At 40.2% G+C, this 18,057-nt stretch overlaps 1 protein-coding gene across 2 annotated transcripts in view; it reads left to right on the top strand.

Moving 5' to 3' along the window:
- The window catches only part of ZMAT4 (zinc finger matrin-type 4), a 367,237-nt gene extending 354,346 nt beyond the window's left edge, over positions 1 to 12,891 (top strand). For both annotated transcript variants that reach the window (NM_001135731.2, NM_024645.3), the window contains one exon: positions 11,243 to 12,891. In NM_001135731.2, the coding sequence (NP_001129203.1) occupies positions 11,243 to 11,258 (16 nt within the window). In that variant the 3' untranslated portion in view covers positions 11,259 to 12,891. The remainder of the gene's footprint in view (positions 1 to 11,242) is intronic.
- The last annotated feature ends 5,166 nt before the right edge of the window (positions 12,892 to 18,057 follow it).

The following is an 18,057-nucleotide window of genomic DNA, read 5'->3' as shown; positions in this document are numbered from 1 at the left end:
GGGGTGGGGGATCAGGGTGGATTTTGACTAAGATAATTCCCAGACGTGGCTGAACTGTTTCTACAACATTGAGTTTGACTACAGCAGACGCTACACCCATCGCTGCCTTTGCAGTATGGGCTTTGCTTTGTATTCGTCCAGACCTGGATGCCCTGGGGGTTGCCACACCAGACCACAGTCTCCCAGAGCCTCCGCAAGCATGTGCTGGCTTTCTCTATCCTCTTCCGTGGCCTATCAGCACGTTTATAAGTTACAGTTTGGCCCTGTCTGCAGAATGTGCTGACAGCTTTCAGTAATGGATATGGACGTCTGCTGAAAGGTTTGGCTGTGTTTGTAGCTGGGTGCTGGATGGCACGTAAACTCTGAGCCTGAAGGAGAAAAAAAAAAAGTTAGCATAGAATTCACTCTATCTGTGGATTTGTCATTTTGGAATTTGTGTTCATTTTAGACAGGACTGACAGAAACTGCTGAACTTGGAGCTGAGTGACGTTAGAGGCGTGAGCCCATCTCTGCTGCAATGACGTTGGCCAGGCCACAGGCATTCAGCCTGGTGGAGGTGAAAGGAACTTAGGGAATGGCCTGGTCCAATTCTTCATTGAATAGATGAAGAAATTGAGGCTTGTGGAGATGAAGTGACATTTCCAATGCAGCCATTTAGTGATAAATCCATTGTGTTGATTGATCATCATTTCATTCTTTTCCACAGTTCACTTATTCTGTTACATAATGTTGTTTCAGCATTGTCCCGATAGTATAATTATTATCAAATAATTTGTTATAAAAATTGTATGAGGTCAGGCACACTGGTTCATGCGTATAATTCCAGCACTTTGAGAGGCAGAAGCGGGTGGATCAGTTGAGGCCAGGAGTTGGAGACCAGCCTGGGCAACATAGTGCCACACCGTATCTACAAAAAATAAAACACTTAGCTGGGAGTGGTGGCATGTACGTGTAGTCCCAGCTACTCCAGAGCCTGAGGTGGGAGGATCACTTGAGCCCAGGAGTTTGAGACTGCAGTGAGCTATGATCACACCACTGCACTCCAGCCTGGGTGACAGAGTGAGATCCTGTCTCTAAAAATAAATAAATAAATAAATAAATAAAACAAAATTAAATTAAAAATCGGATGATCATATTACTGCTTTTTCTACCGCTCATAGGCCAGCCAGGGTCCTCCCTGACCCCTCGGTGGCCCACACATGAGTACAGCCTCCCTGGTCTTCTCCATCAGCTTCCCAACTTCTTTTTCTCCATCTCAGCCTGGCATGTTCCTTCTGCAAGCAGGGCTGCATCCCATTCCACACTACTTCCCATTCTCCTTCTCAGCAACCTACCACATACAGTGCTTCTTTTCAAACTTCACCACTTCTGTTCCCAGTCCTTCCCTCCCCTCCGGCCTCTCCACCACACATTCCTCCCCCCAACAAAACATACTTCTGCCAACTCATCCCTTGCACCTGCTGCTCTGCCTCTCCATCCTTCAGTCCCACTCTGCCCGAGGGCCAGCTTTGGAGAGTAACTTTCCACTCCTGCCAGTGGCTGACCTGAACATAGTAGTAATTGCTGGCACTGTGGGACTCTAGATTTTCACAGAATGTGTACCCCAGGAGACGTGCTCATGAGCTAAAGGGGAGTCCGACATTTTCCCTTCCCCTGCTCCCTGCACTTCGAGGCACTGCAGTGTTTGAGAGAGAGACACAAATTATTACAACATAGCAGTGGCTCGTTTCTCTCTCAAATTCACCTGTTATTTTTTTCATTTTATTTTCTATTTGGGAAAAATCAGTGGATTGATTTGCATTTCAAAACATATCTGATTTCAGACACTTTCAGTGACACTAGCCCAGAACTGTCCAGTGGAATGTTCCGTGGTGAGCGACATGTTTTGTATCTACTTTATAACACAGTAGCCACTGGCCAGACTCGATTGCTAATACTTGAAAGTGGCTAGTGTGACTGAGGAACTGAATTTTAAATTGTATTTAATTTTAATTATTTTATATTTAAATAGCCACACATGGCTACTGGGTACCTAAGTGGGCAGTGTAGACTAGACCATTATACCCTTTGTTGAGGGGAGAATTGTGAAATCAAATATTAACATTCCCCCACTTCTACCATCTTTTTGCCACATCCCACCACGTCCCATGATCCTTTGCTTGCCCTTGAACAGGTAAAACCAGGGCTACTCTTGGCTTCTAGAAGGTATATCTGACTTCAGTCCCCTGTCTCTGTTTCTGCCAATTATATAACTTAGTAATTGACTTAGCCTAAAACCGAGGCTCATGTAGCAAATAAATAATAATAAATAATAAATAATAGATCACATTTATTTGTTGCTCCATATGTACCAGGTATGTAATACTTCCATATATTAATTCATTTAATCTTCAAAGCAGCCCTGTGAGGTCTGTGTGTTATTATATTATACCCATTTTATAGTTCAGGAAACTGAGGCAAGAGCTACAGAGCTGCTACGTGCCAGAACTGGAATTTGAAGTTGGGCATTTGATAGTAAACCTCACTCTTGGGCACATATTGAACTGCATCTGCCATATGCTCCCCTGCAGAGAAATTCCTGGCCTGGCATCTTGGATGCTCTCTGTACCTGCCAACGTGGAGTGGGATTGAGCTCTGTATACTAAAAAACAGAAACAGAATCAGAATCAGAGAGGTTTGCTACTGCAATATTGCAATGCAATTCTGACGCTAACTACCTAGAGTTAGTGCAGACTTCACAACTTAAGGGCACAGACTTCAGCAAGACCGCCCTCACTTCAGATGTCAGCTGCAAGCTCTGAGGGTCCCAGGATGCCTGCACTTCTGACCAATTGGCTACAAATTTGGGGTTCCCATTACTCCCTCAGGTTTAATACCTAGAAGGAATGTCAGAACTCGGGAGAGAGCTAGACTTGCAATTACAGTTTTATTATGAAGGCTACAAATCAGGACCAACCAAATGACAAGATGTATATAAGAAGGTCTAGGAGGGTCCCAAATTTGGAGCTTGTTTGTCCTCTTCTTGTGAAATCAGGGTTGTGGGACTTTTCTTTAGTTCAGCTAAAGATGGGGTCCTTGTCACATGGCCACAAAAATTTAGGCTTGCAGACAATTTAAAAGGTGAGTAAGACAGGATTTTATTGGGTGAAAAGGGAAAAAAGGGAAGGAGGGACCCTTCACAAGCCAGAGTCCCTGCTGGTGCACTTCCTGCCCGCAGCTTGAATCCCAGGTTCCACACAGGAAGAGGAGGGGCCAGGCTCCTTGTCCACTGCAAAGGGTGCCAACTTCCTGAGGCTCCACCCCAGTGCACAGGCTGGTTGGAGTTTTCCTGGGAACCTCTTTGCACTCAGCTGTCTTATCAAGACACAATACTCCCTCATCACGCTGATGTGTTCACTCAACTGAGCTTTGGTGTCCAGAGTTTTATTATGCTTTCATTACTTAGGTATGACTGAAGTATTGGTCATGTGACTGAACTCATTGTCCAGCCTCTCCTCCCTAAAGGTTGGGCTACTATTATTTGGCCTCAACCCTCTGATCACACAGTTTATCTTTCCAGCATGGCCAGACTTCATCCTGAATCTATCTAGGGACTCACTATGAGTCACCTCATTAGCATAAGCTGTCAAGTTCCACCATGAATTACAAAGATACTGCTATCATTTGGGAAATCCCAAGGGCTTAGACCTCCACCTCAAGAACTTGGAAAAAAGACCTGACAAACTCTATTGTACAAGAGCTACATCAGAAATTTTTCTTTCAAGTAACTAAGAGTAAGGAAACAAGCATTTCTAAATGTTTAGTGGTTACTGGTCACATTCATCTACATTATATCATTTAATCTTCATGACATTCCTAGGAGGAAGATATTATCGATGTCTTTGTTTTATAGATGAATAAACTGAGGCTAAATGAAATTAATAACCATGTACATGAACATCCAACTAGTAACAATTGGTATGGAAGTTTAAAATCAAGCTTAAAACCTAACTTTCAATCACAAGCCCTTTGAATACATTACAAGAATAGTAGGAGGAGATAAGAATAGAGATATAGATGCTTTCAACACCTAATTGTTTTTCTTATCTGAAAATGCAGGATGGGAATGGACTTGCCCAGGATAGGACAGTCAAGGAGAAATGTGAGGATCTGGGAGTGAGGCTTCTTCCCAATGTGCCAAGTGATTCCTTTTCTGATTTTCCTCATGTGTTTATTTACAAAAGATTATGTTTTAATGTGTGTCAGGCCTTTAATGTGTAGCAAGCATTGAAAATACACAAATAGAGAGACACAGTCCCCAGGCTTCCTTGAAGAGGACACAGACAGTACATAAAATATTGCAATGTGACATGGCTACTGAAACAATAAAGAAAAGCACTTAGAAAAATGCAATAAAAGGCCGGTTGTGGTGGCTCATCCCTGTAATCCCAGCACTTTGGGAGGCCAAGGCGGGTGGATCACGAGGTCAGGAGATCAAGACCAGCCTGGCTAACATGGTGAACCCCCGTCTGTACTAAAACTACAAAAATTAGCCAGGTGTGGTGGCGGGTGCCTGTAATCCCAGCTACTTGGGAAGCTGAGGCAGGAGAATCGCTCGAACCCAGGAGGCAGAGGTTGCAGTGAGCTGAGATGGTGCCACTGCACCACTCCAGCCTGGATGACAAAGGAAGACTCTGTCTCAAAAAACAAAAAAAAAGAGAAAGAAAAATGCAATAAAGGAAACAATAAAAGAAAGTTCTAATTAGAAAGGGGCGAGAGGAAAAGGGGAGTCAGGAAAGATTAGGGGAGAGAATGCAGGAGCTAGGGGTTGGAAACAAACAAGGATTAACCAGATTTCGAGTTCTGTAAGTGAATAGAAGAGGGGTACTGAACTCTCTCACTTCAGATGAGGAGGCTAATATGTTGTCGTCGACAAAAAGAGTTAAACTCTGTAAAATATTTAAATAGATGTATTCTTAGCCAAATATGAGTTACTATGGCCCGCGATGCAGCCTTCAGGAGGTCCTGAGAACATGTGCTTAAGGTGGTCGGGGTGTAGCTTGGTTTTATACACATTTTAGGGAGGCAAGAGACATCAATCAAATACATTTAAAAAGTACATTGGTTTAGTCCAGAAAGGTGGGACAACTAGAAGCGGGGTTCGGAGGCTTCCAGGCTATAGGTAAATGTAAACATTTTTTGGTTGACAATTGGTTGAGTTTGTCTAAAGACCTGGGATTAACAGAAAGGAATGTCTGGGTTAAAACAAAGGGTTGCAGAGGCACAAGTTTTTATTTGCAGAGGAAGCCTTCAGATAGTAGGCTCCCGAGAAAATAGGTTGCAAAGTGTTTCTTATCAGACTTAAAGTCTGTATTGATGTTCATGCTGGAGAGGTATAATGAGGCAAGTCCGACTCCTATTTCCCATCATGGCCTGAAACAGTTTCTTAGGTTAAATTTTAAAAGAGCCCTGGCTGAGCAGGAAGTCCATTCTAATGGTTATGGGGAGGGTTTCTTAGAATTTTATTTTTTGGTTACAGGGTCCTGATGATGCCCAAAGCCTAGCACTTTGCAGACCCCTTGCTCTGCCTCAGCTGTAGCCAGAACCCCCAAAGTAGAAGGGAATGGAGTCACCCAAATAATGGAGGTCAGGTTGTGATGTTGTGGATCTCAGGAATGAGGAGGATGTGTGTGTATTAGGAGTTCTAGCAAGTTTCCTCATCTGTAAAATGATGATGTTCGACCTCCCTAGATAATCTCTGGGATCCCTTCTGGCTCTAACATTTCATTAATTTGTGATTTTATGAAAAACGTTTTGCAAAGCAAATGAATAGTGTAAACAAGATTATAAAGAGAATATTTGCCTTCTTAAGGGAATAAACTGTTCTGAAGCACATCAGGAGTGGTCATTTGCATATAAACAATGCAAATTCTATATAAGCAGAGGAGGCTTGTTTTCTTAGGTGTTTTGGTAAGTCAATTACAAATCGTTCTTATCAATTTTGCTAGTGTATATGTATTAGGAAGCAGAAGAGTTGAATTCATTTTAAAAGTGCTATACTTTCGAATGTTCCCAATTTCTTGAATGTTCCCAATACCTGACTTTTCTCTGAATTAGCCTGAGTTTTCTTAAATTATTTCTTTATTCCATGGGTTAAAACATTTGTGATTTGTTTTTTTCAAGAAGGTTTTGGATAAATTGTTATGTTCATCAGATCTCAGAGGTGTCAACTGAACCCCATTCTACTTTCAGTCGTCCTGAATGGGCTTAGGACTACCCAAAAAAGTCTATAACCTGTTAGGGTCCAAAGTCCTGCCTCCACTTTTGATTCCCAACATCTTAATGATCTCTCTTCATCTTTCTCCCCTGTACATTTGAGTGCTTCTTTTTCCCACTCCCCATATCAATCAGACTACATAGGCTTCCAATACAAATTACCACTTTGGAAGTATTTTATTTGTCTAGATGACTGTATTGAAGATTTGGTTGTCATACAGAGCTATCAACATGCAGAGAACAAAGCCATCTTCCTGATTCTATTCTCTCTAGGCCTCTTCCCCTTCTCTCATATTCTCTTTCTCTTCTCTTTTTTTTTTTCTCCAAACCCCCTCATCCCGCTGACATTCACCCTTTTCAGAAGCAAGACACCTTGTGCCCCTTGTCTTAAGCACAGCAGTTTCCTTCTGTAGCTTGGGCATTTTCTTAAAGTTTTGTTCTCCACTCCCAGGTGGTTGCTCAAAATATTCCAAATACATTTTGTTGTGTCAGGGTAAATTCAGGAAACACGATCTGGAAGAAGCAGGTTTCCACCAAGGGGGATAGGAGAGGCTGGGCAAGCAGAGAGGTGGGGGATGAGTTTCCAAGCAGAAGGAACTGCCTGCACCAACCATGGCAACATGTGAGAGCCAGCACGTAGAGGAGCCTCACCTGATTTTCTGTGATCCAGATAGGTGGAGTAATCGCAAGGAATAATGAGTAAAAGACAGGAATGGAGAAGAAGATGCCAGTGACATTACAGTGACCTTTATGTGTCATATTAAGACATTTTTATTTTCTCAGAAGGTGCTGGGAACCCAGTGAGGCATTGCAACACCAGTGTGATGAGGCTGCAGAGCTGACTGCAAACATCCCAGATAGAAAACTAGTGCAATGCCACAGACCAGGAGTAGGACATGGGGCAGGGGATGCAGAGGAAATGGGACATTTAAGAGAGAAGTAGGAGACCAATAAGATTTGGGATTGATTGATTATGGGCTGATGGAGAAAAAGGAACTGGCCAGGGAAAACGCTGCACTTTTGTCTTGAATATTTATTGGCCAAGTTAGGAAATACAAGAATAGAAATTAGGAAATGTTCAATTTTGGAAATATAACTTCATTTGGTTTATCAATGCACTATTTTAATTTATGGGCCCAAAGTGTTATGTCCTTGGATGTCATTCAGTTCTCAGGCAATAGGCTGAACAAGTTCCAAGTCATGACTGTTCAGCAACATTTTTGTGAAAAATGCCTTAGACATGACTCCTCCTCTCCTAACAAACTCTGGCCGTATCATTTCATGTAAACCATGGCCCATGACTGCCTTTTCCTTGTCACTATAAGCTTGCTACCTGGCTATCAGAAATTAGGCTTCATCATGGCTAAGGATGTTCTGCTCTGTTTTTTCACTGGCTTATTGAACAGTTTACATTCAGTGTGGGACCAATTAATCATTATATATTTCTCTAGCTACCACCTTCAAACTCACATGGTCAAAGTGCTTTCTTCTTTCTTCCTCCATATTGTTAATATCTCAGGAAGATTGTGTACATATCTGGTCATTTTTTTTTTTTTTTGAGACAGAGTCTTGCTCAGTCGCCAGGCTGGAGTGCAGTGGCAAAATCTCAGCTCACTGCAACTTCTGCCTCCTGGGTTCAAGCAATTCTCCTGCCTCAGCCTCCCAAATAGCTAGGACTACAGGAGCATGCCACCATGCCCAGCTAATTTTTGTATTTTTAGTAGAGACAGGGTTTCACCATGTTGGCCAGGATGGTCTCGATCTCTTGACCTCATGATCCGCCTGCCTCAGCCTCCCAAAGTGCTGGGATTACAGGCGTGAGCCACCACACCTGGCCAAGGTGAGACCATTTTCAATGGTTGTTACTAGTCTATCTTAAGATTTCTGTCTCAAAACCAGGTCAGAGAATCCCCCTATCCTGGACCTTCAGGATGAGAATAAGGGGAAAGACTAGTGGTGGAAGAAGCGGAAGCTTTTGGACATGGCTGTTCCTACAGATGTGATTCTCATCTGGCTTGTGCTAGAAGGCTGCCACATGCCCCGTGTGGCCCAGACTTCAATAGGGGCTGAACATCACAGAAGTTCTATGTCGCGCCACATTCCCTGACAGGGACACTTCTCTTTTGGGAAGGCAGAGGTACCCATTCCAAATTGCCCAACATTTTTCTAACTGCTTCCTGAGACCCCATGAAAAGTCCCTATTAACACTCAGTTACATTAGTTTTAGAAAGGTAGCAAATGTGGGCCGGACGCAGTGGCTCACACCTGTAATCCCAGCGCTTTGGGAGGCTGAGTTGGGTGGATCACCTGAGGTCAGGAGTTTGAGACCAGCATGGCCAACATGGCAAAACCCTGTATCTACTAAAAATACAAAAATTAGCCAGGTGTGGTAGCACGTGGCTGTAATCCCAGCTACTTGGGAGGCTGAAGCAGGAGAATTGCTTGAACCTGGGAGGCAGAGGTTGCAGTGAGCTGAGATTGTGCCACTGCACTCCAGCCTGGGCGACAAAGCGTGACTCAGTCTCAAAAAAAAAAAAAAAAAAAAAAAGGTAGCAAATGTGCAAATGTGAAACTGAGGCCATGTTTTCATCATGTTTGTGGTTTCATATATGTCAAAAAGAAGATGAGCTATCTGACTATGACTGGTATGTATATGGCGCAATTGAAATTCTCTCTTCAGATGGAATCATATTTAAGGCTGTCAGAGAACAAAGACTGCCCTTCGCCACAAATGGAAGCTATGTGATGAATTTTTTTCCCTATGCCTTTCTTCAATTTTCTATTTAAAGAAATTTCTGAAAATACATGAATTATGCAGCTTATCTCTCAGATGAAAAAGAATTTTCTTCTTGGATTGGATGGCTGCGTGTTTATTAATAGCAGTGAAATTTTCCGTGTTCTTTTGTATCAAATGGGATGCTGACTAAAATATGAAGTAGCCTTTCCAGCAAAAATAACAGTAATGGATGAATAATTACAAAAGCTATAGGGAACTGAAAGACATTTTAATTTGTCATTATTTCTATGTATTCAGAAAGGATCTGAATAATTACAATGACTATAAAAAGGAAGAATGTGATATTTTTCCTCATTATGGGATTAAGTTCTTAATATACCACTTTTACTATAAGTTTAAAAAAAAAACCCTTTCATCTGATTTTCTCTAACTATGTAATCATGACTAAAGACTGTTTAGCTGTGAATATTTGGTCTTCTTACTGTTACGTGAAGATGCTGTCCTTCAAACTCTTTTTAATCTCAAAAGTGTTCATCTTTGCAGTTTATAAAAATGAAATTATACTTATTTGCTCAGTGAGAACTTTCAACCCTTATGTCACATTAATTTTTGAAGATGACAAGGACTGTTGAATTTCTTTAGGTCATGACCGGATGGTAGCAGAGTATGAGATTCTAAAACAGGATTTTAATTTTTATAACAACTACTAAAAAGTGGCTATAGCTACCAGGGTCATGCTAAGGCAAAATTTCAAACATTTCAAAGCTATTTTTAAAAATATGCATATAGTCTCAATTTTTTTAGTCTACATTATACCAACAATGTTCAAATTCTTATTCAGATCCTAAGAATATTCTATGACAGCACTGTTTTTGGAAAATGAAATTTCAACATATGCTCTGTGTTTCTAGGTGAGTGATAGAATTTTCTTTTGTAGCTTTTGAATTTTCATTTACCAGACTGCCAGTGAGACATTTGGACCTTAGCGAAGGAAGATGGGAAAACCTGTGAAAAGAGTCTAACCTGCTCTAACACTTTTGCCACCCTTCCCTCTAAAATATTCTTTAAGGGAAACAGCCACCACTAGAAGATGCTTTTCCAGCAGCTTCCTTTCAGCTGGAGCACTTCTTCAGCAGCATGCGAGAAATCCCCGGCAGAAGATGTCAACAAGCTCTCTCACCTCCTGCTTATGAGTTTTTCCAGGGTTCAAGTTCCACTGCTTAACAGCTGTTTGATCTTGTGCCATTAATTTAGCCAAGTGAAACCTCAGTGTTCTCACCTTTAAAAGGGGTGGAAATGGCACACATAGTAAAAGTGGTCTGTGGATTAAATTAAAATGTAAAGTAAATGTAAAATTCATGACTCGTAGTAGGCATGTTGTAAGAGGTAGTATCTTGTTGTCATAAAGAAAAAAACAAAACTAAAAATCCTTCAAAAATTGGCTCTCAATTTGATTAAATCAATACTTTTTGCAAGTAAGGCCAGAAAGAATTTTTTTTTTTTTTTTGACATGGAGTCTCCCTCTGTTGCCAGGCTGGAGTGCAGTGGCACGATCTCGGCTCACTGCATCAGGTTCAAGCGATTCTCCTGCTTCAGCCTCCTGAGTAGCTGGGACTACAGGCATGCTACCATGCCCAGCTAATTTTTGTATTTTTAGTAGAGACGGGGTTTCACCATGTTGGCCAGGATAGTCTTGATATCCTGACCTCGTGATCTGCCCACCTCTACCTCCCAAAGTGTTGGGATTACAGGCATGAGCCACTGCACCTGGCCCAGAAACAATTTTTTTTTTCTATTCTTCTAACAGAGAAAATTCTGAATGAGTGGACAACGAGGCTTATATTAATTTGAAATTTAGCCACTGTAATGTTGCTCTCCACTTTCAACAAGAGGGTTCTGCATGTAGTTATACCTGAAACTTAAAGATGGGTGTATGCAGCATGCCATAAATAAAAATCAATTCATTATTTTTATTTAAAAACATTTGGAATGAATTTAGTGTCTGGATTGACAATGTAGAGCTATACATTTTCTTGTACGTATGTGGAGATGGCATTAGTAATGGAGATATTTTATATATACAGGTTATTTAGAACCTGAAAGATTAACTTTACAAATTCAGATGCATTTGAATTTGATGGTTAAGGTAATATGAGAAGTAGAAGAGAGACAGGGGGTGGGGGGGAGAAAGAGGTGTTGGAATTTGTAATTATGAAAGAAGGTAACACTGTGTTTCCTTCTGTCTTATAGCCTGAAGAATAAGTAGTGAAAGCATCAATCAAGACATAAGAACAAAACATTAGCATTTCTCTGCCGTGGAGAATTGCTTATCAACCACCAGAGGAGGCTTCTTTCTTGAACAATAAACATTTCTTATAAGGATTCACAGATTCACATACGACTGATCTTGATTTTTGGAAATGAATGAGGTTTCTTTTTTCTTTTTCCTTTTTTTAATTTTGGGGTAAGTTATGATATTTGGATGGATTTTTAAATTCTTTCCTGATAACATATTTAGCACATGTTCTAAATTATAATCCTATAGCAAACAGTTGGAGCATTATTCAAACTGAAAGTGGAAAAATTTAAATTTCCAATTTATTCTAGATTTCCTCAGAGCATAATTATTCTGTTAAATCCTCAATGAGTGTGATGTAAACCACCTCTATCCAGAAATATACATTCTTTTCTCATCATGTTGGACACAGTTGAGGGTGACATGCACAGAACTGGAACAGATCACTATTAGTGGAAAATACCAAATGGACAAATAAATACCAGTCGTTTTCTCCGTTCTCCAAGCACAGGAGCCAGGTTTACCATCTGAACAATGAAGACGAAGGGAGTAAATAAAGGAAGAATTCTCATCTTTTTTCCTGATCATTCAAAGAACAGTTTCTCAAGGTTAAGCCAAGTCCTCCTTGCAAGTTGCCAAATAATAGCTTAGGAAAAGAATTAGTCTGCCTGCATGATGATCTTCTTAGGCAAAAACGTCTTCACAGCCCTTGACCTTGGTGAATTTTTTTCCCCAAAAGCATCCAAAAGAAGAATTATAAACCCCAGAATGAGATGGAAATAAACAAGTATTTTTTTTTATGATGTTTGGCCTGAACTGTGGGCTTTAATTGGGGGATACTGATCGTTTGGAAAGAAGTGAGAAAATTCTGAAGAAATGGCGGCCTTGGGCTAGGCGGGGTCCCCTATTTCTTCTGTTTCTCACTGAAGTCCTACTGCTGAGCCAAGACTCAGTCACTCTGGAAAGAGCATGACCGATAAAGAAAACAGTTCCTTTCTGATGGGGAGCGTCTGAGTGCAGATCATGAGGCTCTTTCTCTAGGTTTAATTCTTTTCCATGGTGACCGGACTTGGTGTCTTGTAGCCTGGTTACGAAGTGGGACGTTGAGCTTCTACTGACGATGCCCTGCATGGACCAGCTGGGATCTGGCTGGGGCTGCCCTGTGTCCCTAACGACCATAGGCAATCCATCTTCTTGTGTCAGCAATTTCTGGACACCCACTGTTTTCCACCAAGAGCTGAGGTGGCAACAACTCAGTGAGCAATAAACAAAATGACACAGAAATGCACAGTGTTGTTATGAAGGAGCCTGTTTACCTGTGTTCAAAATCTGGCACCATTCCCTTGAGCAGGGCCCGCTCAGGAGGGACCAGGTCTGCCAGTTTCTGTGCCTGCAGAGAGACGAAGCCCCACGAGCCACACCCTACTCTACAAGAGGAAAGGGGGTTGGATGGGAAGAATCTATTTTGCTGTTTTGGAAAGCACACAGCCGACCTACAAACCTCCTGTGATGGTGTTTCTTCGGATGTGTAAAATAAGGCTTTATTTGTCAATTCCGCTGTAAAATAAGCATTGTCCGAGTAAAAACAGCAGCAACAACAAAACACTGTTTCAGTTTGGGTTTAGTGAGTGAGCTTATGCCCTAAAGTGCTGTGTGTGTGTGTGTGTGTGTGTGTGTGTGTGTATTTAAAATAACCTAATATAGAAAAGTCTATGAACATAGATTTCTTTTACTTTACAGAGAGGCTATGCCAAACCCTTTATAGATAATCTTCCGGCCATAATAATCAGATTATTTCAGAATTCCTCATCTAAATACCATTGCTCCTTGGCAACCTGTCAAATGCAAGTGAATACCCTGCCAGAGGTTTTGTGTGTTTGTTTGTTTTCAAATTTCTTTATTTTTGCCCATGCAGATAGTGGAAATTATCATTCTAGTGTACCCTGGAGATGACATATTTAGTTTTAGGCAGGAAGGGGCTGCTAATGTTGTTTATATTTTGGGAATTCTGGAATGGAAAGATTCCTACTTGGGAAGCTAGCTGTTTGTGGTTGTCTTTTCTGTTTGGTTTGCTGTGGTTGTGTTTGTTCAGCTAAGTCATATCTTACCTTCCCATTTTTTTATGAGTGGATGGGAGTGGGATGGAAGGTAAATGTTTTCAAATAACCAAATCAATTCTGAAGGAGAGGAAAGAGACCCACACAGACCCAGGTGTGTCCCTGTCTTACGTCCAGTCCACCCGGAGCTGCTGACACGTGGTCCCAGCAGAGACTCCGGGCCAGCTGAGAACATGAGTCAAGTGATTTTCTGTAAAATGTTAATTAAAAGGACCTAGGAAAGAACCCATATATTTGAAAGAGTGAAGCTATTCAAATTATCAATATTTAAAGTATTTTTACTGTTCCAGAGTTTTTATAATAATGTTAACTAAACTAACCAAATACTGCCCATTTAAAGTTTTGCTGCAGTGAGGGAAAAATTATTCAAAATTAACATAACACACAAGCTTAATGGACTCCTTATACTATATCAGAGTAAAATTATTTGTATTTAAAAGGTTAGTGGTTACGTGGTTGAAATTGTCTTCTTAAGAAGATAAAACACTCCTATAGTCTTGGTCATGCAGTTAATTTACTTTGCAAAAAGTTTTTCTCCGTCAGTACAGAGGTAAGCTTCAGGCTAGCACCTGTGCCAGAGGCCACAAACGCCACGGTAGTGAAACCCAAATTAATGAGTCTTCATTAAATTTAGTCTCCAAGCCCAGTGAACTAATAAATATAGTCATAAAGTAATCTGCTAAGTAAAGGGGACTACAGTGATTCCTTTGGCTGATAAAGGTAGTAATAAAACTCTCATCCGCAATTGCTTGACTACAAAGACAAATAGGATTTGTGTTTCACTTGCCTGTTAGACGACATATATAAGCATAAATTGGAACTGAAAGAGTCTTTACACTTTTTTATTGACATGAGTTTATTAGGTCAACCAGACCAAAGGATGAAAAATTTAAGATACATGAAAAATACTAAAACTCCCATAGGAAAATTTGAGCCTTCTGGTTGGGGCTGGGGGTGGAGTGTGGGGGCATTCTAACTCTTCCAAAGCTGATATTTTGAGTCGGAAATTTCTGACAAGTCAGTGTGAACACAGAATATTAAAGCCCCACTAAGAAAATTACCTTTTTAAACTGCCAGGTAATAAAATAACTATACTCTCTCTATATTCCATCCAAACAAAATATTCATTGTTCACTTGACCCACTTATATGAGGAACTGTTTTTCTTTTGTGACCAGAATAAGGAGGGTCCAATCAACATATTATTGTGGAGATAGCCTTTTTTTTTTTTTTCTGGCTTCTACCTAATTTATTTATAATAAAGACAAGCTAGGCTACCTCATAGGATTCTGGTGTGGATTCGCTAATTAATAAATATCAAGTGCTTAAAAATATGGATCTCTGTATAAATCCTGCCTTAATTTGTTTTCTAGTTTAAGATGTGCATGTCAAATCAACTGTCTGAATATTTGATTGTAATATTCATGTTTGTAAATTTGGCTTTAAATTTAAGATATAAAAATTTTGATGTGAAATGGAATCCTAGCATGGGTTGAGAGCATCTAACCCAAGACTGGCAGATATAGCACCTAGGGAAACAAAAAGCACCTGGAAACCAAACCAAAATGTTTTTAGAAGGCATTTTTGACTGGGCGCAGTGGCTCACGCCTGTAATCCCCGTACTTTGGGAGGCTGAGGCTGGCAGATCTCTTTAGGTCAGGAGTTCAAGACTAGCATGATCAACATGGTGAAACCCCATCTCCACTAAAAATACAAAAACTAACTGGCTGTAGTGGTGCATGCCTTTAATCCCAGCTGCTCCAGAGGCAGAGGCAGGAGAATCGCTTGAATCCAGGATGCGGAGGTTGCAGTGAACCGAGGTTGCAGTGAACCGAGGTTGCGCCATTGTACTTCAGCCTGTGTGACAGAGCAAGACTCTGTCTCAAAACAAACAAACAAACAAACAAACTAAAAAAGTATTTTAAAAGAAGGAAAGGAGGGAGTCTCAGCATTGGTTTGAGGAGTATATTAAGTAATTCTGTGTTCTAATAATTAAAATGCCAAGATTCATCAATGAGTTATATAAAAAGTAGACTGGATTTAAAGTGAAGACTATGATAATGTAATCCTTACTTCATTCCAATGTTGAGTGAAAGGTAAAGGGAAATCATAGCTAGTCCACATATTTCTAAATACCTGCAAGAGAGACTGTGCAGACCAACTTGATTTGTGTCTTCATAGAAAAATGTTGAGTACTATTTTTTTAAATGATATAGCCTAAAGAGAAAAGAATGAAATTAATATCTAACAGTTTCTTAGTAACACCATCTGAAGGCTCTATGGTAACTAGTTAAAAGATGATTTTACTGCTGGCTGAACTGCGCTTCCATTTTCCCCTTATGATTAATTACTCCTTAGTCACTATTCTGAGTAGCAATTTTATTTGCTAATTTCAAATGCCTCCACTTAATTAGCAATTCGTTCTGACCTTTAAAAACTACATTCTATAGTCTTCAGATTATATGAGCAAAGGGAAAAAAATCCAATTTTACCTGTCTCCCACCACCAGCCACCCATAGCGGCTTACATTGTTTCTGGGATACCGTGAAACTACTGTACAGTGTCAAACTTGAGTTAACGGTGGTTGTTTGAAATCCAGGCTAAAGTTCCCTCATCCTTCAGGGGGTCAGTAGGTTCAGTGAGAGGTAGGGATGCTCCAACTTCAGAGAGTTGAGGTAATGTGTGATGTAGCACATCTGACTGGTACATTTTATTTTTTTAATTAAAGAAAAATGAGAAAAGGTACACACAATAATGGATTCCCTTTTGTATCCTTACTCACAGCTCTCTTTTGAGAATTCTCAGCACATTTTCCACTTGAATTGTTGCTCAATTAAGTGTCTGACACTAAGACCATCCAAAATTAGCAATATGAGTTTTCCTTGGGGTTACCAAGTCAGTGGCCAAGGGGTCTACTTTGAGATCAATTTTTTAAAATCCTCATATTTCTTGAAATTGTCTTTATTGTTGGATAGGGTGTTAATCAGGGTGAATAACATTAGTGCTAATGATTTTACTGTTGATAATTCAAAGAATTACCATGTTGAGTCAACCTCATATCCCATTAATCCACTACTCTGACTGTAAATAGTCTCTAAGAATCTCATAATCAGGGGATATGATTTGTTTCCCTGATATTAGTTCCAAGGAACTCATTAATACTAGATATGTGTAAGCAGAGAAGCCGGAATATTTCTCTATTTTTCAAAATTATAATATTTTTGGCTGATTTTGAGAATAATGGAATCACGGACAGTCACTATGCAAGGAAGGCATTCTACAGCAGCCCCTATCCTCAGAGCCTCAGAGTCAGCACACCCTGCCGTGAAACCAAAGCTCCTACCCTCAGCTGTCCCCATTCGGAGGGCATCCACTGTTGGCTTTAGGGCCATCCATACATGGTTTAAGTTTGTCATCCTTCTTGTGAATCAATTCTTCTTGTCACTTGTTAGATCCACTTGGTGGCTTTCATATTGATTGGCTCTAAGGACCCCATTTTCAGAACGTTGGGGTGTTTAGTCCTTTTTTCCACCACTCTTTGGTTTAACCAGAGCACATTGCTATTAAAAAGGTGACTGGTAACAGGACAATACAATCGGTATATGGAAGATATTTGCCATTTTGGAGATGTATTTTTTTGAAAGCCAACAGGTTTCCACGTTCAACTAGTTATATGTCTATAAGCTTCTTTCTTCATTATCCCCTTCTTTACCACTTAATTGAAGGCCAATTACAAGCCCATCTCCTACATCTTTATATAAGCTACCATGTTTTGGTGTCCTTTAGGTGTAGAGAGTTTAATTGTGATGAAACCTAATCAAGTACCCTTTAAAAGCCACCTATGGGGGTGTGTAATAAAATGATGTTCCCCCTGGGGATTTGTATCAACCATTTATTTCTTTGATAGTGTTGAATTGTAAATGAACTAAGTGCTTGAGCTTTTATTTTTCTAGTCACTCGTGAGTTCAAAAACTGCCCATCTTCCTTATGCATGGCGAAGCTTTCTTTATGTGGAATTGACTCAGTCTTTCTCCATTTATACTTAGTAACACATCTTCGTTACTTTAGGGTCTCTTCTCTGTAGATGTGCAGTGCAAGAAGGAATACAGCCCCCACTTGTAGGAAATGACTGATACTCTCTGACTTATTGCTGCGATTTGAGGCAAATATATCCTTTTTCTTTTGAAATTATCTTCTTTAGCCAACTTTCTCTGAGAATTGAGATGGGTACCCCTAAAAGGGAAAAACCAATAATAAAACCCATTTCTGTGCTAAACTCTAGTTATCCAGTTTATAACAAGTAGTAAAAGGATCATTATATTATGTTTATCATATATTTACATATTAAGTAATTAATTATTGAATATAAAGTTTCAAAGAATGTTCTTATAGAGGAAATGGTACAGGAGTTTGAAAACCTATATTTAGAATATGATTCTGCCATTCATTGGCCTTGAGATCTCGGGCAAGCTTCAGTTACCTAATATCTAAAGTGGGGATAATAGAATTTCTTCTTGAGTCGTAAAGAGGAAGCAAACTTACTACATGCATTTCTTCTTCTCTTCTCCACCATCAAACTAGCTAATAACTGTGCAGTCTAATACAGAACCATTAAATGGAGAGCTGGAAGAGATCTTTGAGACCGTGTTATCC

This window comes from Homo sapiens, chromosome 8, assembly GCF_000001405.40.
Source record: "Homo sapiens chromosome 8, GRCh38.p14 Primary Assembly".
Classification (NCBI taxonomy): domain Eukaryota; kingdom Metazoa; phylum Chordata; class Mammalia; order Primates; family Hominidae; genus Homo; species Homo sapiens.
The sequence above is the reverse complement of the archived record's forward strand: the minus strand, read 5'-3'. Positions and strand labels throughout refer to the sequence as shown.